The following is a 23,144-nucleotide window of genomic DNA, read 5'->3' on the forward strand; positions in this document are numbered from 1 at the left end:
ATAGTTCTGTACTTTCCCCTAAAACTTGCAAACTCATTAGGTCCAAAACCAAATGCACTGTCTTCACCTTCCTTTTTTTTTTTTTTTTCACTATGACATATGTCATGCATACGAAAGTGTATAAAAGCAGTGATTGTCAGTGCGTTTTTGAGTTTTGACCTCTGGTTGAATTTTGTGATACAAGTAGGTTAAATTTTTAAAAGGATTATAAGGGCTGTGAGCAATGGCTCACGCCTGTAATCCCAATACTTTGGGAGGCTGAGGCTGGCAGATTGCTTTAGCTCAAGAGTTCGAGACCAGCTTGGGTAACATGGCGAAACTCCCTGTCTCAACAAAAGAGACAAAAATTAGCCAGGCTTAGTGGCGCCGCCTGTAGTCCCAGCTAGTTGGAGGGATAATGAAATGAACATCTATGTACACATCCTTCATAAAAAGTGAAACATTAAAAATAATACATTAAGTCCCTTTGACCTCTTCTCTATTAACTCCTCTGACTTTCAAACCACCTTCCCTTTTTGCCTTCCATTCATTGGTTAATGGCATCACTAGCCATCTGGTTATAAAAACTAGAGATATTGGAATCATTTTTGCCTCTTTTTTCCTTCACTTGCCATAACCATTTGGTCATTAGATTCTGCTTCATGAATTAGCCCTTAACCCTAGTTTCTTTTTCTCTAGTTCAAGGCCACATCTTGTCTCAACTAGCCTTATGGAGTATGGGTAGTGCATGTAGTGTCCTGGCTCTTCAGTTTTTTCCCTCCAATGTATTTGTTACACTGTATCTAAAGATGTTTCTAAGGTATAGAACAGATTTCTCATTCTGTTGTTTTCTTTGGGACATGTTATTAAATACTTAATATAGTGATTATGAACCCTTGCTGCACATCAATATAGCTAGTGAAAGTTTTCAAAACATAAATGTCTTGTTTTGCACTCCAGATTAAGAATTTAGATGAAGCTACTCCCCCTAAAACTTTTTTACCTTACTATCTCTGGAGAGTCTGATTGAGCATTTAATTTTTACTGATAGGCATTATCTAAATGTCATTGAAATAACGCATTGCTTGAGCATATGCCTCTTATCCCTCCTTTTCCTTTTTTATTTTTCACTTTTCCTTTTTCTTTTCAATGTTAAGGCCAACTTTCCAAGGAATTCTTTTGATTTTCGTTTTAATTTTCTTCTTGGTAGCATTTTATGTAAAGATTCTTTTTATGGTTGACCTCATAGCCAGAAAGTATCGTAAAGAAATGATTCCCAGTGTTCCTGAGTTATTACCTCTTGTTGCTAATTGACTTTTTTTTTGGTATACCTTTTTTGCTGCAAAAGTACGAATTGGTGCTGTGATATTATTTTACATAAAATGAGTTTTAAAATTTGAAAAACAATTACTTTAATGAAGAGAAAGTTGCTTGATACTTCTTGATATAATTGAATATAATCTTTGGTGCTAAGTTAAGACAGAGGTGGTATGATGCATAATTTATCTTTTGAAGGGAGTCTTGTGTTAAACTGTTATATTTGATTAGGAATTAGAACTTCTCTCATGCTGGGACAATTTCTGGAGTACATAGTAGGTGTTTAATGAATGAGTAAATGAATACAAGTGGCAGCTCCATCCCAACCTCTAGTCTGTTGACTAGTTGCACTCTAATTCTCACAAGGAACGCTTTGGAAAATAATTTTCCCTTGACTTAAAAAATAGTGTTCTCAGTCATTACTAAAAAATTGGAAATTAGAAAAAGATATAAGAAAATAAAAATTGCTGGTCGTGGTGGCTCACGCCTGTAATCCCAGCACTTTGGGAGGCTGAGGCGGGTGGATCATGATGTCAGGAGTTCAAGACCAGCCTGGCCAAGATAGTGAAAACCCATCTCTACTACAAATATAAAAAATTAGCTGGGTGTGGTGGCAGGCACCTGTAATCCCAGCTACTTGGGAGGCCAAGGCAGGAGAATCGCTTGAACTCGGAGGGCAGAGGTTGCAGTGAGCCGAGATTGTGCCACTGCACTCCAGTGGGCACAGAGTGAGACTCTGTCTCAAAAAAAAAAAATTGCTAGTTATTCATCATCCAGAGATAACAAATGTTATTTTAACAGTTTATTAAAATATAATTCTTGGCTGGGTGCGGTGGCTTAAGCCTGTCCCAACACTTTGGGAGGCCAAGGCAGGCAGATCACAAGGTCAGGAGATCCAGAGCATCCTGGCTAACAAGGTGAAACCCCATCTCTACTAAAAATACAAAAAATTAGCCGAGCATGGTGGCACTCCATGTAGTCCCAGCTACACGGGAGGCTGAGGCAGGAGAATCGCTTGAATCCAGAAGGCAGATATTGCAGTGAGCCGAGATCTTGCCACTGCACTCTAGCCTGGGTGACAGAGAGACACTACATCTGAAAAAAAAAAAAAAAAATATATATATATATGTGTGTGTGTGTGTGTATATATATATACACACACACACACACATAATTCTTAGTTCACCTAAAGTGTACAATTGAAAGGATTATAGTGTATTTACAAAGTTACGCAACTATCACCATAATCAATTTTCGTACATTTTTATTATCCCATGAAGAAACCCCATACCTATTAGCAATCATTCCCTATTTTACTCCATCTCCTGAGCCCTAAGCAACTATTAATCCACTTTCTGTCTCTGTAGATTTATGTATTCTGAACAATTCATGTGGAACCATAATATGTGATCTTTTGTGACTGGGTTTTTTCACTTATGTTTCGAAGATTAATCCATGTTGTGGCATATGTTCAGTACTTCATTTCTTTTTATTGCCTAGTGATATACCTTTGTATTTTATTCTACATTTTACTTATCCGTTCATAAGTTGAAGGATATTTGGGTTGTTTCTACTTTTTGGCTATTATGAATAATGCTGCTCTGACCATTCATGTACAAGTATTTGGATGATATCTTATTAAGATTTTGATTTACAATTCCCTGATGGCTAATATTTTTTAATACTTGTTTTTAGACTGTGTTTAACAAAATATGGATTATACTACATATGCAGTTTTGTAGTCTGCCTTTTGCATTTAAGCCTGTTTTTAGCATTAGCAAGCATATTTTACAAAAGAATTTTCCTAATTTTTGCTCCCCTCTTTACTCCCCGCCAAAACCATAAATTCTTGGGAAACCTTGCTTAAATTAATATACCTAGAAAATACAATCCATATTAATATATACCAGATTATTATTGGTTGTTACCATGGTATGGGAGTGGGTAGAATTAGGGGAATTATATTTTCTACCTTAAATATTTCTGTAATGTTTTAACTTTTACAGTGAAGATACATCATTTTGTAATCACAGAACATAAAGGTGAATTATTTCCTTGGGGAATAAGTAGATTCAGCATGAAAAACAGTTCCTAAATTTGAAAGTCATAATTAACATTGTAAAATTAGTCATTAAAATATATTTCACTAAGCTGGGTGCGGTGGTTCACGCCTGTAATCCTAGCACTTTGGGAGGCTGAGGTGGGTGGATCACGAGGTCAAGAGGTCGAGACCATCCTGGCCAACATGGTGAAACCCCGTCTCTACTAAAAATACAAAAATTAGGTGGGTGTGGTGGCATGCGCCTGTAGTCCCAGCTACTCAGAAAGCTGAGGCAGGAGAATCTCTTGAACCCAGGAGGTGGAGGTTGCAGTGAGCTGAGATCACACCACTGCACTCCAGCCTGGCGACAGAGTGAGACTCCATCTCAAAAAAAAAAAAAAAAAAATATATATATATATATAACATATATATATATAATGTATATATTTTACTAAATACAATACCTATAGGCCATTTTGTTAACTAAATTTACTTTTCTGTGGTCCTAGACTGTGAACACATATGCTGTGCAGAATTAAGAAAAATATTTAGTATTAAAGTCAGAAAAGCAAATACTGGTTATTAGCCTTTGACTGCTTTATAGAAAAGTATACAGTTGTCTCTTGCTATCTGGGGGGGATTGATTCCAGGACCAAAATCAGAGGATGCTCAAGTCCCTGATGTAAAATGGTGTAGTATTTGCATATGACCTATGCACATCCTTCCATGTACTTTAAAGCATCTCTAGATCAATACCTAATACAAAATGTAAATAGTTGTTATACCATATTTATATCCTTAAGAAAATACTTGTTATACTGTATTGTTTAGGGAATAATGACAAGAAAAGTCTGTACATGTTCACTAGAGACACAATTTTTTTTCTGAATGTTTTGATTTGTAGTTGGTTGAATCCATGGTTGTGAAGCCCCAGATACAGAAGGCTGACTGTACTATGTAGAAGTAATTTTTCTAAGTATATTTAGTTCTTGAGGCTAATATTGATTCAAAAAGTCATTGACAAGGACTTAGAAGAAAGGACTTTTGGCCAGGTGCAGTGGCTCATGCCTGTCTATAATCCGAGCACTTTGGGAGGCCACGGTGGGTGGATCACCTGAGGTCAGGAGTTCAAGACCAGCCTGACCAACATGGTGAAACCCTGTCTCTACTAAAAATACAAAAAATTACCTGGGCGTGGTGGTGGGCACCTGTAATCCTAGCTGCTCGGGAGGTTGCAGTGAGCTGAGATTGCCCCATTGCACTCCAGCCTGGGCAACAAGAGCAAAACTCTGTCTCAAAAAAAAAAAGAACTTTTTTGTAGGGATTATGTTGTAATAGGATTTGACATAGCTAATCATTAGACTCTGTTTATATAATCTCAGATCAGGCAAATCTGGCAGGAATATTTATAATTGTTTATGTAGAGAAAGGTGGGTTTTTGGACACTGCAGCTTCTGTTGAATAATAATCTGGCAGTTGTAATTGCCACTAAATTTTAAAGATTCCAGGAGTGGTTCCTGAATGATGGGACAGACACTTCTGTAAGATTGTTCAGAAAATTTCCAGCTTACTTACACTCCATATAATACAGAGAGAGATAGTTGGTATCATTAAAAAAAGAAAGGAAGTTAATAGTTAATATGCTAGGTTTTTGAAGACAGCTTTATATGTATTGTCTCATTTAATCCTCACAACAGCCCTTCAGGGTAACTACCTTGGTAATGGTATCTTCATTTTGCAAGTGAGGAAAGTGAGGCTCAGAGAGATTAAGTAACTTGCCCAAAGTAACACAGCCAGTATGTAACAGAGCTAGGATTTGAATCTAAGTCTGTCAGACTCCAAAATCTATGCTCTTTCCAGTACTTCACACTGCAGCAAGTAAGTGTGATACTTGGCCCTGTGATTGCCTTACTTAGGGCACCCAAAACTTCAGCCTGTTTCTATTGCTTACTATCCAAATCCTAGTCAGACCCCAGTTAGAAGACCCTGTGACTCGAGCCAGGATCAGTCCTTGTATGTACTGGTCTGATTGCAGTGATAGTTATCATTTCTTTCTGAACGTTGCAATTACTCCTCCACAAAGAGGAATATACATCTTTAAATATGATTAAAATGTGATTTCTTCTATTATAGCATAGCAGCAAAATTTGTCCTTGCAGTTTCCAGCAGGTGTATTCAACCCTATAATTTAAAGCTTCATTCATACTCTAGCCAAAGGACTATGGGAAGTCATTTTGCTTTTTTTTGGCAGGGAACGGCTGTTCTATTCCCTATCCTGCTTATATCATAAAATTGTTGTAAGAGTGAAATGAGATAATAGATGTTCAACTGTAAGAAAGTACTGTGTGGTAATCTCTTACCTTTCTAAAAGCCCCATCTAAGTAGAGATTCTTCCTTTGTGAAATTCTAGCATATACAGATTTATTTCTATAAATCGTTTTAGTTAGGCAAGAGAATCTTGAGAGTGTACTTGAATTGTAGATTACTCCAACCTGAGATTTAGGCTTAGCTATTAACATACAAAAGGTATTTTTCACTTTAGTGTACATATTAGAACAAGGTGAGGTTAATTTTTAAGTATCTTGTTGGAAATGCATGGCAGGGAAATTCTGAAGAAGAATTATAAGTAATGACAAATAAATATATTTAATGTACAGTACAAATTACCCAAGTTATTGTTTTTCTTTTGATTCATCATATTATCTTCATTGATTTATTTTAGTGGCTTTTAAAGATATTTGCAGTGCCTTTCATGACTTTAGTTCTCTGGTCTCGCTTTTTCCCTAAGGCCTTAAATACATCATTTCATTCATTCATAATGTTCATTTTTATTAAGGATTTACTGTATAAGGCTGAGGATAGATAAAGCAGTGAGCTCACAGGAGAAAGCAAAAGAGGCAAAAATCCCTGCCCTTGTGCAGGTTAAATTTCTTTTCTTTTTTTTTTTTTTTTTTTTGTTGTTGTTGTTGTTGTTGAGATGGAGTTTTGCTCTTTCACCCAGGCTGGAGTGCAGTGGCACGATCTGGGCTCACTGTAACCTCCACCTCCTGGGTTCAAGCGATTCTCATGCCTCAGCCTTCTGAGTACCTGGGATTACAGGCATCTGCCACCGCGCCTGGCTAATTTTTGTATTTTCAGTAGAGATGGGGTTTCACCATGTTGGCCAGGCTGGTCTCGAACTCCTGACCTCAGGCAATCCACTCACCTCGGCCTCCCAAAGTGCTGGGATTACAGGCATGAGCCACCACACCTGGCCACAGCTTACATTTCAATAGTGAGATTATAGGTGACAAATAATATAAATAAGCCATATGTCAGTTGATAATAGAACAATAGGAAAAAATAAAGGGAAGAGGGTTGCAGTTTTAAATAAGTGATTAGGGAAGACCTCATTGAGAAATGGCATCTGGACAAATCTGAAGGAAATGAGGGAGGGAGTTATGTTGTCAAGCAGAGGAAGAGCATGCTGGCTAGTACCGAGACACTGAGGTGGAAATGTGTAGCAGCAATAGCAAGGAGGTCAGTATGATTAAAATCAGTCATGCGTGTGTGTTGGGGGTGGGGGGTGGAGGGGGCCTTACAGTCCATTCTGAGGACTTTACATCTGTGTGCAATGGAAGTCATTGAGATTTTAAGCAAAATTCTAACACGGAGTTTTCAGGAACACATCATCCTTGGACATTGTAGAGGAAACACTGTAAGTTAAAGGTATTATTAGATGTTCTTACTCCTCTACTGAAATGCAGGATTTTATTTTGTTTTTGTGTTTTGTGTTTTAAGACGGAGTTTTGCTCTTGTCATCCAGGCTGGAGTGCAGTGGCACCATCTCGGCTCACTGCAACCTCCGCCTCCTGGTTCAAGCAATTCTCCTGCCTCAGTCTCCAGAGTAGCTGGGATTACAGGCATCTGCCACCAAGCCTGGCTAATTTTTGTGTTTTTAGTAGAGATGGGGTTTCGCCATGTTGACCAGGCTGGCCTTGAACTCCTGACTTCAGGTGATCCACCCGCCTTGGCCTCCCAAAGTGCTGGGATTACAGGCGTGAGCCACTGGGCCCGGACAGATTTTGTTATTTTATATATTAAAACTATATGTATTCATGTATTATATAATAAAATATATTTTTTAAATTTAAGGCAAAAATGTTTTAAAATACACACTGCCAGTAACTACTTGCAGAAGGAAAAGTATATTGGAAAACCTCACAGAAGTTTTTAAAATTTTTAAATTTAAAACAACCAGTTAACATGGAAAGTTAGATTTATATTTAAGAATTTACTAGGCAGCCATAAAAAGAATGAAATCATGTCCTTTGCAGCAACATGGATGGAGCAGGAGGCCATTATCCTAAGAGAACTAATTCAGAAACAGAAAATCAAGTATCTCATGTTCTCACTTATAAGTGAGAGCTAAACATAGGTACCCATGGACATAAAGACGAAAGTAGTAGACACAGACCATTCCAAAATGGAAGAGTTTGGGAGAAGACTGAGGATTGAAAAAGTACCTCTTGGGTTCAAGGTTCAATATTTGGGTCATGTGTGTATAAGTCCAGTCCCCACCATTACACAGTATACCAGTGTAACAAACATACACATGTACCCTCTGAATCTAAAATAAATTAATTAAAAAAATTAAAGACACTTCCTAAAGTTTGCCCCCCCAAAAAGTTAACTAGTATGGCTTATTTATTTATTTATTTATTTATTTATTTGGAGATGGAGTCTCACTCCATCTCATCACAGTGATGTGATCTCGGCTCATTGCAACCTCCACCTCCTGGGTTCAAGTGATTCTCCTGCCTCACACTCCTGAGTAGCTGGGACTACCGGAGTGCACCACCATACCCGGCCAAGTTTTGTATATTTTGTAGAGATGGGGTTTCACCATGTTGGCTAGACTGGTCTTGAACTCCCAACCTCAAGCAATCTGCCTGCCTTGGCCTCCCAGAGTGCTGGGATTATAGGCGTAAACCACCATGCCTGGCTTAGTATAGCTTTTTAAAATGAAAGATGATCTGTTTATGACATGACCTCTAAAAAAGTTAATTGTGGTGTCATAAATAGGATTCTATCACTCCCAGTACCACCATGGTGAAGGATATAAACTGAAACATCTGAATCTTATTTCTTAAATGAAGAATATTAATTTAAGGATCAATAATTATTTTGTATAATGGGTATGGCATAAGAAATAAAAAGTCCTGGATCTTTTCCATGAGGTGGTTGGCTCTCAGGTTAAGTAACAATGTAATTGTAAAAAAATCTTATGGTAAGCAATTTTTTTTTCAATTTCATCAAGTATTGGTAGTAAGTTTTTTTTAAGTTCTAAATTACCAAATTGTACTTGAGTGAAAGTGTAGTGTTTAATTTGTAGCTCAGCCTGGGATATCTGTTTGCCAGTGATAGGTCCTCAAATGCATTTTCCCTTCCTGCCTTTTTATGATTCCTCTCACCTCTTTACTTTCTCTATGGTGAATGAGTCAGCTATTTCATCTTCCTGTTTGTCTTAAAATTAATTAATTAATTTATTTATTTATTGAGATGGAGTTTCACTCTTGTTGCCCAGGCTGGAGTGCAATGGCATGATCTCCAGCTCACCGCAATCTCCACCTCCCGGGTTCAAGCGATTCACCTGTCTCAGCCTCCCAAGTAGCTGGCATTACAGGCATGTGCCACCATACCTGGCTAATTTTGTATTTTTAGTAGAGACGGGGTTTCTCCATTTTGGTCAGGGTGGTCTCGAACTCCCAACCTCAGGTGATCCGCCTGCCTCGGCCTCCCAAAGTGCTGAGATTACAGGCATGAGCCACCGCACCTGGCCCAAAATTTATTTTTTTTAATACGGACTTTCTCTCTTGTTGCCCAGGCTGAGTGCAGTGGCGCGATCTCAGCTCACTGTAACCTCTGCCTCCCATCTTCAAGCGATTCTCCTGCCTCAGCCTTCTGAGTAGCTGGAATTAAAGGTGCCTGCCACCATGCCCAGCTAATTTTTTTTTTGTATTTTTAGTAGAGATAGGGTTTTGCCATGTTGGCCAGGCTGGTCTCGAACTCCTGACCTCAGATGATCCACCCACCTCGGCCTCCCAAAGTGCTGGGATTACAGGCGTGAGCCACCACGCCTGGTGCTGTTTCTCTTATTTTTAATCTCCTGTGTATTCTGTAGAAGGGATCTAGTCTGGATAATCTTGGTTGACTAAATTAGACTACATTAGTTTGGAAGGGTTACCAAAACAGTTGTTTTGAAGAGTTACCTTTTCTGCTAATATTGTTCATATTGGAAAATTGATATTCCCCAGACCGTGTTTTTAGAGCCCTTTGAAATCTCTGTTTCCTTCTAACTGTATACACCTCTGTCCTAAGCAGAATGTTTTGTTTCCTGTCCCCTAAATAATGCTCAGTGATCCATAAGTACAGTGCATATATAAGGCATAAGTATGTCCCAGACTTACCTCTCTCTCCATTTCTGCTTATGCTATTTCATCTTCCTCAAATTCCCTTTTGTCTTCTCCACTTACTCAAATTCTACTCTTATTTCAGGACCAAATTCATACTCAGTCTTTCCAATAAAGCCTATACTCTCTGCCTTAGTCTAAAATTCTTCCTTTTCTGTTTTCTTTTTTTGTGGAGACAGAGTCTCACTCTGTCACCCAGGCTGGATGGAGTGCAGTGGTGTGATCATGACCTCCTTGGCTCAAGCAATCCTCCCCTCACCCTCCCGAGTAGCTGGGACTACAGGCACATGCCGCCATGCCTGGCTACTTTTTTTTTTTTTTTTTTTTTTTTTTTAAGAGTTGAAGTCCTGCCTGCTATGTTGCCCAGGCTGGTTTCCAACTCCTGAGCCCAAGTGATCCTCCTTCCTTGGCCTCCCAAAGTGCTGGGATTACAGACATGAGCCACTGTACCTGGCCTTTTTTTTCCTTTTTTTTTTTTTCTTGTTCCAGAGAAGCAGAATCAATAAAGGGTGTGTGTGTGTGTGTGTGTGTGTGTGTGTGTGTGTGTGTGTGTGTGTGTGTGTAGAGAGAGAGAGGGAGAAATGGATATAAAGATATGTATTTATTATAAGGAATTGGCTCAGGCCGTTATGGAGACTTAAGTTTCAAGATCTGTAGGATGAGTTGGCAAGCTGGAGACCCAGGAGAGCCCATGGTGTAGATCCAGTCTGAATCTGAAGGCCTGAGAACTCAGAGAGCCATTGATGTAGTTTTAATCCAAAGGCTTGAGACCCACAAAGAACCAGTGTTTCAGTTTGAAGGCAAGAAAAGCTGATGTCCCTGTTAGCAGTCAGACAGGAGGAATTCTCTCTTAGTGTTTATTTTAGTGTTCATTTGTGTGCCTTGTCTTACCAGCTAGTAGGTAAGCATCTTGAGGGCAGGGACTACAAATCATATTTGCTTGTTTATCATCCATAAGCCCTTGCATCCTTACAAGTAGTAAGTACATCTAATATGTAATACTTTTATAAAACAGTAAGATTTTAGAGCTGGAAAGGGTTTTTGACTCTTAGTTAACTGAAACAGAAAGTCTGTTGCATGTGACTATTTTTTGGAAGAACCAGGATCAGAATTTTATTTTCGGTTCCTCATCAAGGGCTTTTTCTAATAATTCTTATTAATAATAAATGATAACTTAAATCATTATCCTATTTTAGAGTTTTCCTGGAATCAGAAACAGGTTTAAAATGGGAAGAGAACCAGCCTTGGCAACATAACATAGTGAGACCCCGTCTCTACAGATAATAAAAATTAGCTGGGCATGGTGGCATGCACCTGTGGTCCCAGCTACTTGGGGGGCTAAGGCAGGAGGATTTCCTGCGCCCAGGAAGTTGAGGCTGCAGTCAGCTGTGATCACACCACTGCACTCCAGCTTGGGTGACAGAGTGAGACCCTGTCTCAAAAAAAAAAAAAAAAGAGTAAAATAATATACCTCTTTCCTTTGTGGTTAGAAGAATAAAATGAAATAATGTATGTGGAATCACTTAGTATAGCGCTTCGATATAGCTGATAGCTGAACAGTTGCTTTTTTTGTACTAGAAAAGTTATTAAAACCTTTTTTCTTTTTTTTGCTTAGGAGCAAGAATCAAAATAGTTTGCAGAGTCCTTTAATGTGGGAAATTAGGCAGTATTCCTGGAGATTTCACCTTTTTCTCCTCTTTTAATTTAAAAATGTGCATGATACATAATTCAGTTATTCATAAGTATTGTGCCAAAAAAAGAACATATTTAATGTGAGATTATGTCATTATTTCCTCAAAGTATGGTATTTGACATGTTAAATTTGCTGATTCATATACAAGATTCCAATTAAGTATTCAAATATAAGGCATCATAACCAAGTAGCAGTTTTATCTTTATGACATGACTGTATTTAAGCACAGGTTGAGGCTATGGAAGGTGATCTTACAGTATCTAAACACTAGAGTAATTTGAACTTAAATACTCTTTAGAACTCTTCAGTCATGGGAAGTGAAATTGATTATTCTCACTTAATTTTTTTTCTGCTGTAGAGTTCTTCGTAAGTACATCTTAAAGCTGTCAAGATGGTTCTAGCAGACCTTGGAAGAAAAATAACATCAGCATTACGCTCGTTGAGCAATGCCACCATTATCAATGAAGAGGTATGTAAAATATTGTATGAAATATATATGATTGTATATTGTCACTAGCATTGGGAAGATGGCTTATTCATAATCCCTGTATTTATATGTATTTTGATGTAGACTTAATACTTGTAGATAAAAGCCTAAAAGTGGATACAGTAAGTAGTGTTTTATTGAGAAATTAACTACAACTTCAAATTTACTTCAACTTTCTATAAAGAATTTTCCAAAAAAAAATCGAAAAAAACCTGACCTTAACTTACATGTAAAAATAACATATTTTATCTTTTGAAAGTGGCTTAAATCTGGAACTGTACTTTTGTTTTCTTTATTGATATAGACCTAAAATTTCATTACTCTGCTTCTTTCTTCTTGGCTAGGCCTGTGCTTATCTGTCCTTTTCTTTGTGACTTTTATTTAGCATTTTTATAAAAGGCTAGCATTTCCATCTTGTCTGTTTTGATTCATTTTCTTTGAAATCTTCAGTTTTTTGGAGATTTTGTAAGCCACTCCTTAGATGATATTAAAATACTTTTCTTCCCGGCTATATTATTTTAAGATATTTCTTTGTTCCATTTGTCCCCCACAGATTGTATCTTAGTGGTTTATTAATTGAAAAAGTTGACTGTGGTTCACAAGTATACTTTATATTTTGTATCAACAATGGAAAAGTACTGAATTTGGTGTTAGAAGACATTGGTTAGTCCCACTGTAGCTATTTAGCAGCTGTACGATGTAAATTGGGGCAACTAAACCTTAGATTCCTTAGTGTATAAAATAGGAAAAATAGCATTTACCATAGAAAATGGTTTTAAGTTTCAAATAAACTTTCTAACTTGGAGGTTAGAAAACTTACGTAGAATTCTTACATGGAATTTGATCTCAATACTAAGCTAACGGAATTAAATAATTTTGAGACCATCTTAGAGATCATTTAGTTCAGCCTCTTATTTAACAGAACCAAAGTCAGTTTCATGTGATTATTTATTTGGAAGAACCAGGATTAGAACCTTTTTTTCCTAGTTCCTCATACAGGGCTTTTTCTAATACTGCTTATTAAAAAATAAATCATAACTTAAATCATTGTTTGGTCTTGTAATTCCAAATATATAAAACGACTTTCCAAACAGTTTTCCCTGTTGTGTAGCCCTTATGTTCTTTGTGTTTATAGTAGAAAGGAAAGGAAACCAGGGGAGGAGTTCTTGGTGGGAGGTAGAGTAACAGCTGTTGCTTAAATTGGCAGCTTCTCTGTTCTTGATACTGTGCTGCTAGCTAATTAACAAGGAGAAAGCCCTCTAGTGAAAGATCAGTTCGAATTTTAGCAGACCCGTTTAATGAGGGATAGAGAAAACTGGTAAGCCTCTCTCTGTAGGGCATATGAAGTGAGTTGAAGGAGAGAGAACATTCAAGAAATATTTGAGGGCCTATGTTTTTGCAGACATTTTTGCTGGCACCAGAGATACAGCGGTGAACAAAATAGACTAAAATTCCTAACCTCATAGAGTTTACATTCTAGTGTGTGAGCACTTTATATACATGAGTGGCTAAAGCCTCATCTTTTCTTAAGACTTTTAATTTTATGACCTTTTAACTACAGTGCCTTGCAATTCAACAAACATATGATGATAATAAGTTATTAATGGAGAGTAGCCTCCTTTCCACCTGTATTCTGCTGCTCTAATAAAAATGACAAGACTGGGTAACTTCCTTCTGTCACATTTACTTCCATAATTGTCCAGTTTTTAAGAAAAGCAATATTAAGCCGGGTGTGGTAGCTCACACCTGTAATCCCAGCACTCTGGGAGGCTGAGGCGGGCGGATCACCTGAGGTCAGGAGTTTGAGACCAGCCTGGCCAACATAGTGAAACTCCATCTCTACTAACAATACAAAAAATTAGCTGGGCGTGGTGGCAGGCGCCTGTAATCCCAGCTACTAGGGAGGCTGAGACAGGAGAATCTCTTGAATCTGGGAGGCGGAGGTTGCAGTGAGCCGAGATCACGCCATTGCACTCCAGCCTGGGCAACAAGAGCGAAACTCTGAAACTCTGTTCCAAAAAAAAAAAAGAAAAGCAAATATTGTAACTATATACCACTACATAATAGTGACAGGAGCTCTTCAATAAAGTAGAAAACATCAAAGGCAACATCTATTTGTAGTAACTTTTTTTGGCTTGAATATTGTCTTTATTATTACTTTGTGTGTATGTGTGTGTGTGTGTGTGTGTGTGTGTGTGTGTGTGTGTGGTTTTTTTTTTTTTTTTTTGAGACAAAGTCTCACTCTGTCACCCAGGCTGGAGTGCAGTGGCACTATCTTGGCTCACTGCAGCCTCCGCCTCCCGAGTTCAAGTGATTCTCCTGCCTCAGCCTCCTGAGTAGCTGGGATCACAGGCACGTGCCACCATGCCCAGCTCATTTTTGTATTTTTAGTAGAGATGAGGTTTCGCCATGTTGGCCAGGCTGTTCTTGAACTCCTGACCTCAAGTGGTCTGCCCACCTCGGCCTCCCAAAGTGTTGGGATTACAGGCGTGAGCCACCATGCCGGGCCTATAATTACTTTTATATAGGAATAAAATTGTGGCAATTAATACTTGGGTGTAAAACTAAATGGGGTCTCTTATTTTGACAAAATGACTAAACATTTAATAAAATTATCTCTCCAAGAACTAACTGAAAAACCCAGTAGTGTGGTATTACTAAGCTGTGGTTATGTAAGTGATCAACAATTGTTTTTATGGAACTGAAATGAAACATTGGGTGCTTTAAATTTCATTTATTTCTTTATTTTCAGGTATTGAATGCTATGCTAAAAGAAGTCTGTACCGCTTTGTTGGAAGCAGATGTTAATATTAAACTAGTGAAGCAACTAAGAGAAAATGTTAAGTAAGTTAAATCAATCAGGTAAAACACAGGCACAGTTTAGTTTAGTTTACTGGAAAGAGGTGCTAACTGGAAGTGTTTGCTGTATCAGGAATCATTTCTGCTCTGCACCACTGGAAAAGTGCTGTGTTGGAGCTCATATGTTGGGCGAGAGCATGTGTAGTACGTTTCCATAATGATGGTTCAAAGAATAAACTACATGTGATTTTCATTTAATTACATATTTTTTTCTATTTTACTAGTCTTTTATTTGAATGGATTTGATTAAATACTGTATAGTATTTTAATATATAAAGCCTTTTAACAATTCAGGCTCTTCATAGAAAAGTACTGCCATTTTATTCTTTTTAGGCTTAAGATGATCTTAATCAACCTTCATTATTGGAGGACTGTATTCTCTTTTGTTCTCCTTTTGGTTTCTCTGTTTCATATTTGAATGAAGAATTAATGTGTTTGGTCTCAGTTATCATATTCATTGGGAGAGGCACTGAGTTGGTAGGACACACAGAGCAATACAGGTAGCTCAGTTAACTGCTTGAGTCTTATCTCTTACCATGCTTTAGACATCTCTCCTTGTATTGTTAGACTGAGATTAGTTGTGGGACTACCAGCATTTAAGCATTTAGACATAGAGGAAGTAGCCGGGCGCAGTAGCTCACGCCTGTAATCCCAGCACTTTGGGAGGCTGAGGTGGGTGGATCACGAGGTCAGGAGATCGAGACCAGCCTGGCCAACATGGTGAAACCCTGTTTCTACTAAAAATACAAAAAATTAGCCGGGCATGGTGGCACACGCCTGTAATCCCAGCTACTCAGGAGGCTGAGGCAGGAGAATTGCTTGAGCCTGGGAGACAGAGGTTGCAGTGAGCCGAGATCATGCCACTGCACTCCATCCTGGCTGATAGTGAGACTGTCTCAAAAAAAAAAAAAGAAAAAAGAAAGAAAAGAAATAGAGAAAGTAGTCCTGATTTCTGTTGTAAAGATATATAAAATATATAAGCTGCAAGAAAAGTAAATAAAACTAGTTCTTTGTGGTAATATTAGGACAAATTTATATTTATACTTTCAAGTGTAATCCTTGAAAACCAAAGTCTTGCATCTAATACTTCATGGGAAAACTCTTTATGATATAGACTTACGAGTCTGTAGTAATTACATGCATGTTAATTGGAAGACTATTAATATGAATGACTGAATGTTGTACATTCTTTGGAGCAGAAGCTTCTTTTTCTTAGAGTTTCTTAACTGATTTTCTCCTCCCCACCCCAATCACCAACCACCATCATAAAGGTCTGCTATTGATCTTGAAGAGATGGCATCTGGTCTTAACAAAAGAAAAATGATTCAGCATGCTGTATTTAAAGAACTTGTGAAGGTAAAAGTATATGAAGATTATGCTGTGATTCTATACTCAGTGGATAAAAAAGCGTTAGCACTACAAATATTTCAGAATTTTTAAATATGTTTTTTATGGAATATTCATCTGTATTAAAATATTAATGAAAGGATTATTGAGTTTTCTTAGGGACCTTTTTTTTTTTTTTTTTGAGAAGGAGTTTCACTCTTGTTGCCCAGGCTGGAGTGCAACCTCCGCCTCCCGGGTTCAAGCAATTCTCCTGCCTCAGCCTCCCGAGTAGCTGGGATTACAGACGTGCACCACCATGCCCGGCTAATTCTGTATTTTTAGTAGAGACGGGGTTTCTCTATGTGGGTCAGGCTGGTCTTGAACTCCTGACCTCAGGCGATCCGCCCGCTTCGGCCTCCCAAAGTGCTGGGATTATAGGTGTGAACCACTGCACCTGGCCAGGACCTATTTTTATTGTAGACTTTACTGAATATACATAATTCTGAGTGCAGATATGAAAGCTAGTACTATTCCTGCAAAAAATGCCAAAGCCAAGATGCGATGAGTGAAATTTCACTACAGATTTGTTGATGGAAGGGCCTAAGTTTTTCCTCGTTCACTATCATGTTTTGCCTAGTGATGGTCCTGCTTTTGTATGGCAAAGTCACATATAGCAAGTATTCTTTTCTACACTGTTCGTTGTGTAAGGAATTCCCTTTGCAAAGACCATGTATCCCAATTCTTGCCTAGATTATGAGCAATTTTGAATTAGTGAAAGTTTTATTTTCAAATAGTAAATATAGCCAGTTGCCCTGCCTCACCTTATTGCTGATCATGCAAATTATGGTGAAAATCTTAGAGCTTAAAAAATATATATGGGCTCAGTTGTAGAAAAAAAAAGAAAGGAGCTGTTAAAAAAATTATTTTAGTCCAGGCATGGTGGCTCATGCCTGTAATCACAGTGCTTTGGGAGGCGGAGGTGGGAGGATTGCTTGAGGCCAGGAGTTTGAGACCAACCAGGGCAACATAGTGAGAACCAGTCTCTATAAAAAAAAAAAAAATTGATAAAAATAGCTGGTGCAGGCCGGGTGCAGTGGCTCACATCTGTAATCCCAGCACTGTGGGAGGCTGAGATGGGTAACCACCTGAGGTCAGGCGTTCGAGACCAGCCTGGCCAACATGGTGTAACCCCATCTCTGCTAAAAATACAAAAATTAGCCGGGCATGGTGGTGCACATCTGTAGTTCCAGCTACTCCGGAGGGTGAGGCAGGAGTATTGCTTGAGCCCAGGAGTTCGGGGGTGCAGTGAGCCGTGATTGTGCCACTGCACTCCCGACTGGGGGAGAGGGTGAGACCCTGTCTTTAAAAAAAAACAAACAAAAAAAATTTTTTAGAGCATTAGATGCCCACTAGTTCTACAATCATTTTTCCCCCACATTGTTTGAATATTTTCTTTTTTTTTTTTTGACTCTCCCTCTGTCACTCAGGCTGAAGTGCAATGGCATGATCTCTGCTCACTGCAACCTCTGCCTGCCAGGTTCAAGCAATTCTCCTGCCTCAGCCTCCCAAGTAGCTGGGATTACAGGTGTGTGCCACCACGCCCAGCTAATTTTTTTTTGTATTTTTAGTTGAGATGGGGTTTCACCATGTTGGCCAGGATGGTCTCTATCTCTTGACCTAGTGATCTGCCTGCCTTAGCCTCCCAAAGTGCTGGGACTACAACCATGAGTCACTGTGCCTGGCCTCCTTTTTTTTTTTTTTTTTTTTTTTTAAGAGACAGTCTGACTCTGTTACCCAGGCTGGAGTGTAGTGGTGCAATCATGGCTCACTGTAGCCTCAACCTCCTGGGCTCAAACAATCCTCCTGCCTCAGTGCCCCCCAAGTAGCTGGGGCTACAGGTACATGCCACCACGCCCAGCTAGTTTTTGCATTTTTTGTAGAGACAAGGTTTTGCCATGTTGCCCTAGCTGGTCTTGAACTCCTGACCTCAAGTGATCCACCTGCCTTGGCCTCCCAAAGTGTTAGGATTACACATGTCAGCCACTTTGCCTGGCCAGAAATTTTTATTGTTAGGGGCTCGTAACTGTAGGCAATTCTGGAGCATCAAGTGCTTTATTAAGAAGCATTTATTGAGTACCTACTTTATTTCAGGAAGTATGCCAAATGCTGCTGATAGCAGAAATAAATGAGACTGGTTCTTATACTCAGATGCTTATGGTCTAGAGGAATGGTGTACAAAGCAAGGTCAAAATTATTTTCATAATACTAAGACATTATTTGACTTTTGTACTATGTTGACATTTGCACTGAAAACAATGGTAGGTAAAACTCCCTGGTATGAATCAAGGCAGTGGCACCAGATGATACTAGTAGTTTCTGGACTCTCTATTTATTTATTTATTTTTGAAGACAGAGTCCCTGTCATTCAAACTAGAGTGCAGTGGCGTGATCAGAGCTCACTGCGGCCTCAAATTCCTGGGCTCGAGCGATCTTCTCTCCTCAGCCTCCAGAGAAGCTAGGACTACAGGCATGCACCACCATGTTTTTTGTTTGTTTGTTTTTTGTTTTTTTGGTTTTTTTGGTTTTTTTTTTTTTTGAGACAGGGTCTTACTCTGTTGCCCAGGCTGGAGTGCAGTGGTGTGATCATGGCTTGCTGCAGCCTCATCCTCCCTGGGCTCAGGTGATCCCTACACCTGAGCCTCCTAGTAGCTGGGACTACTACTCTTTGAGCCCAGGAGTTTGAGACCAGCCTGAGCAACATGGTGAAACCCCATCACTACAAAAAATACAAAAATTAGCTGGGAACGATGGCTTACACCTGTAAACCGAGTTACTCGGGAGGGTAAGGTGGGAGAATCGCTTGAATCCGGGAGGTGGAGGTTGCAGTGAGCCGAGACCACGCCACTGCACTCCAGCCTGGGTGACAGAGCGAGACCTGTCTCAAAATAAATAAATAAATAAATAAATAAAGCTTCCAGGCATGGTGGCGCATGCCTGTAATCCCAGTACTTTGGCAGGCCAAGGCAGGTGGATCACCTGAGGTCAGGAGTTTGAGACCAGCCTGACCAACATGGTGAAACTCCGTCTCTACTAAATAAAAAAAAAAAAAATTAGCCATGTCTAGTGGCACATGCCTGTAATCCCAGCTACTTGGGAGGCTGAGGCAGGAGAATGGCTTGAACCTGGGAGGCAGAGGTTGCAGTGAGCTGAGATGACACCATTGCACCCAGCCTAGGCCACGAGAGCGAAACTCCATCTAAAATAAAAATAAAAAGGACTTGTATCTATCATCTGTCTCTATCATGAGTTTGACAGTATCCCAGTACTTAGTTTTCTGATGAGGGTCAGTATTGATATTAATGAATAAAGTTTTTTGATTATGTATAGTGAAATATGTCAATGACGAGAGATCTGCCTAACTCAGTGAACCAATGTTTTGTGAATAGCTAGTGCGTGATGTTACAAGATCATTTACCAGTATAAGATTCATTTAAAATGCAAGATGGAATCACAGATTTTAATGTAACGAGTATAAAAGTTTATATGGTTTCAGATTCTACATTGCAGCTAACCTTTACAAACTACCATGATTATAAAGAAGCCCTGAGACCAAGAAGTTGAAAACTGCTGTTCTTGATGGTGGGAGGAAGAGAAGACAAATTTATAAAATTATTTACTAAAACATATATGTTCCAAATAATGGGTCCATAGAGAGCTGGGAGTTTTTGCCATGACATGTAGAAAATGGAGATGAATGTGGAGCAGCATCAGTGTACTGAAAGGATCTATGAGGAAGGGAAGTGGATTTATGTTTAAGACAGATTTTGCCTATTTCAAAAGTTTGCCTAAGGGTAGGTTGATGCCTAGGAAAGGTATAAGAAAATGTATTTTCCTCTCTTCTCTACCTCATGGCTTTCCTTGAAATTCAAGTATAATATAGATGATGTAATTTTTATGGATGGCTTGGCAGACTTTCTCTCAAAGGTTTAGACTTTGTGGACCACGTGATTTCTATTGCAACTACTCAGCTCTGCTGTTGTGGCACAAAAGCAGTAAATGGGTCAGGCACAGTGGCTTATACCTGTAATCTCAGCACTTCAGGAGGCCAAGGCTGGAGGATTACTTGAGGCCAAGAGTTCAAAACCAGTCTGGGCAACATAGCAATACTCCATCTCTACAAACAAATACTAAAGTTAGCCAGACATCATGGCATATGCCTGTAGTTCCAGCTACTCAGGAGGCTGAGATGGTAGGATCGCTTGAGTCCAAGAGTTCGAGACTGCAGTAAGCCATGATTGATTGTACCAGTGCATTCTAGCCTGGGTAACAGAGTAAGACCCTGTCTCAAAAAAACAAAAAAAGTGGTAAATGAATGGGCATGACTGTATTAGATTGAAATTTTTTTCAATGTAATAACTAGAAATGTAATAACTTTACAGCCTGTTGCCCAGGCCGGAGTACAGTGGCCTGATGATAGCTCATTGCAGTCTCAAACTCCTGGGCTCAAGCAATCTTACTGCCTCAGCCTCCTTGATTAGCTGGGACCACAGGTGCGTGCCACCACACCTGGCCAATTCTTTAAATTAGTAGAGACAAGATCTTGCTATGCTGCCCAAGCTGGTCTCAAACTCCTGGTCTCAATGAATCCTCCTCCTTTGTCCCCCCGCTGAAAGGGCCGGGATTATAGGCATGAGCCACCACACCCAGCCTCCATTGAAACTTTATTTGCACATAGTTTACCAACCCCTGATCTAGGACATTAACTATTATAGATTTATTATTTTATCATACATTTCAAGCTCCAAACAACTGACCCCCAAGTGAATTATTTTTTAAATGTCCCATGCTTTTTTTTGTTTTTGTTTTTGAGATGGAGTCTCGCTCTGTCACCCAGGCTGGAGTGCGGTGGCGCGATCTCGGCTCACTGCAAGCTCCGCCACCCGGGTTCATGCCATTCTCCTGCCTCAGCCTTCAGAGTAGCTGGGACTACAGGCGCCTGCCACCACGCCCGGCTAATTTTTTGTATTTTTAGCAGAGATGGGGTTTCACCGTGTTAGCCAGGATGGTCTCAATCTCCTGACCTTGTGATCCACCTGCCTCTGCCTCCCAAAGTGCTGGGATTACAGGCATGAGCCACCGCGCCCGGCCCTAAATGTCCCATGCTTTTTTAATTTGGAGACTGTCCCTATATGAACCTCAGTTTTCCACTGACTGATTTTAAAGTTGATTATTATTTTTTACTAGCCCTCTAAATGTAGTAACTTTACAGTAAATATTTGGCATTGGAGAATTTACAGTTTGACCTGGAAAATCTTTCACATATAATCTGTAATTTTGTTAAGTAAATATTTGTCAAATTGAATATGGACATTAGCACTCTCGAGTATGGCATCCACTAGCCACATGTGGTTATTGAGCATTTGTAATGTGGCTAGTCCAAACTGAGATGTGTTTTACATATAAAATACACACCAGGTTTTCAGACTTGGTATGGGAAAAGAAATGTAAAATATCTCATTAATTTTTTATATAGATTACATATGAAAATGATAATTTTTTAGATGTATTGGGGTAGATACTAAAATTAGTATCACCTGTTTTTACTTTTTAAATGTCAGTACTGGAAATTTTAAAATTCATGTGTAGCCTTCATATACATTTTTGTATTACATTTCTGTAGTGCTGATGTAGATTCCTCCTGTGGCTTAAATTTGGTTTCACATTTTATACTCCAGCTTGTTCTAAAAAATGCTGTGAGATCTTTACCTCTGAATTGGTTTGGAGTATAGACTTGATTATGACTTCTTAAATTTATGTTCTTAAATTTTACTCTGTCTTTACAAAGGGGAATAATTGTATTATAATAGCTTATGGTAGCTTTTACATGAAAATGTCCTTATTTATATAATTTAAAAGTTGTGGCAGCACAGTGGCTCACGCCTGAAATCCCAGCACTTTGAGGCTGAGACAGAAGGATTGCTTGAACCCAGAAGTTGGAAACCAGCCTGGGCAACATGGCAAGACCCTGTCTCTACAAAAAAAAATTTTTTTAGTTAACTAGGTGTGGTGGCGTGTGCCTGTAGTCCCAGTTACTTGGGAGGCTGAAGTGGGAGCATCATTTGAGCCCAGGAGGTTGAGGCTGCAGTGAGCTCTGATTATGCCACTGCACTCCAGCCTGGGTGACAAGAGTGTGACCCTGTCTCAAAAAAGGAAAAAAAAGTTGTGGGGAAGGGGTTTTGAATTTATATGTATGTTAACCTGATTTTATTTTTAATTTATTTTTGGTATTTAGCTTGTAGACCCTGGAGTTAAGGCATGGACACCCACTAAAGGAAAACAAAATGTGATTATGTTTGTTGGATTGCAAGGGAGTGGTAAAACAACAACATGTTCAAAGGTAAATTGAACTTAATTTAAAAAGAAGTCATATGGAAGATAGGTTTGTATAAATCAAGTTTTGTATTTAATATAAAAATGTAAAGCCTGGCTTTATAATGTTGAAATATATATTTTATTAATTATAATTATTAGAATGCATTTATATATTATAAATAATGTTATTTTATATAAAATATATTTACATAAAATATATTTATATTATAATAAAATATATTTACATAAAATATATTTTATTAAAATATATTTATATTATAATAAAATATATTTACATAAAATAGATTTTATTAAAATATATTTACATAAAATAGATTTTATTAAAATATATTTACATAAAATAGATTTTATTAAAATATATTTACATAAAATAGATTTTATTAAAATATATTTACATTAAAATATATTAATAACATATTAAGATATAAAGCCAGGCTTTATAATATTGTTGCTTTATAATTTTGTGTTACTTGATGTATGTTTTTAAATAGTTTTTTTTAGGATAAGAGGAGAGGTCCTCATAGTTTCTTATGATTTTTTTTTTGTAAGAAGGTAGACATCTGTAACTATGCTATTTCTTTTATTAAAAAAAGACCA

General features: G+C 38.4%; 1 protein-coding gene across 5 annotated transcripts in view; it reads left to right on the plus strand.

Annotated features, from left to right (window-relative positions):
- The window catches only part of SRP54 (signal recognition particle 54), a 46,576-nt gene that overhangs the window by 1,845 nt on the left and 21,587 nt on the right, over positions 1 to 23,144 (plus strand). For 2 of the 5 annotated variants that reach the window (NM_003136.4, NM_001411017.1), the window contains exons 2-5: positions 11,841 to 11,951; positions 14,722 to 14,813; positions 16,100 to 16,184; positions 22,447 to 22,551. In NM_003136.4, the coding sequence (NP_003127.1) occupies positions 11,874 to 11,951; positions 14,722 to 14,813; positions 16,100 to 16,184; positions 22,447 to 22,551 (360 nt within the window). In that variant the 5' untranslated portion in view covers positions 11,841 to 11,873. Of the gene's footprint in view, positions 1 to 8,407; positions 8,607 to 11,840; positions 11,952 to 14,719; positions 14,814 to 16,099; positions 16,185 to 22,446; positions 22,552 to 23,144 lie in introns of those variants that run through there. The other 3 variants (NM_001440813.1, NM_001146282.2, XM_047431727.1) reach the window with 3 other exon arrangements.

This window comes from Homo sapiens, chromosome 14 (genome assembly GCF_000001405.40).
Source record: "Homo sapiens chromosome 14, GRCh38.p14 Primary Assembly".
In the NCBI taxonomy this organism is placed as follows: domain Eukaryota; kingdom Metazoa; phylum Chordata; class Mammalia; order Primates; family Hominidae; genus Homo; species Homo sapiens.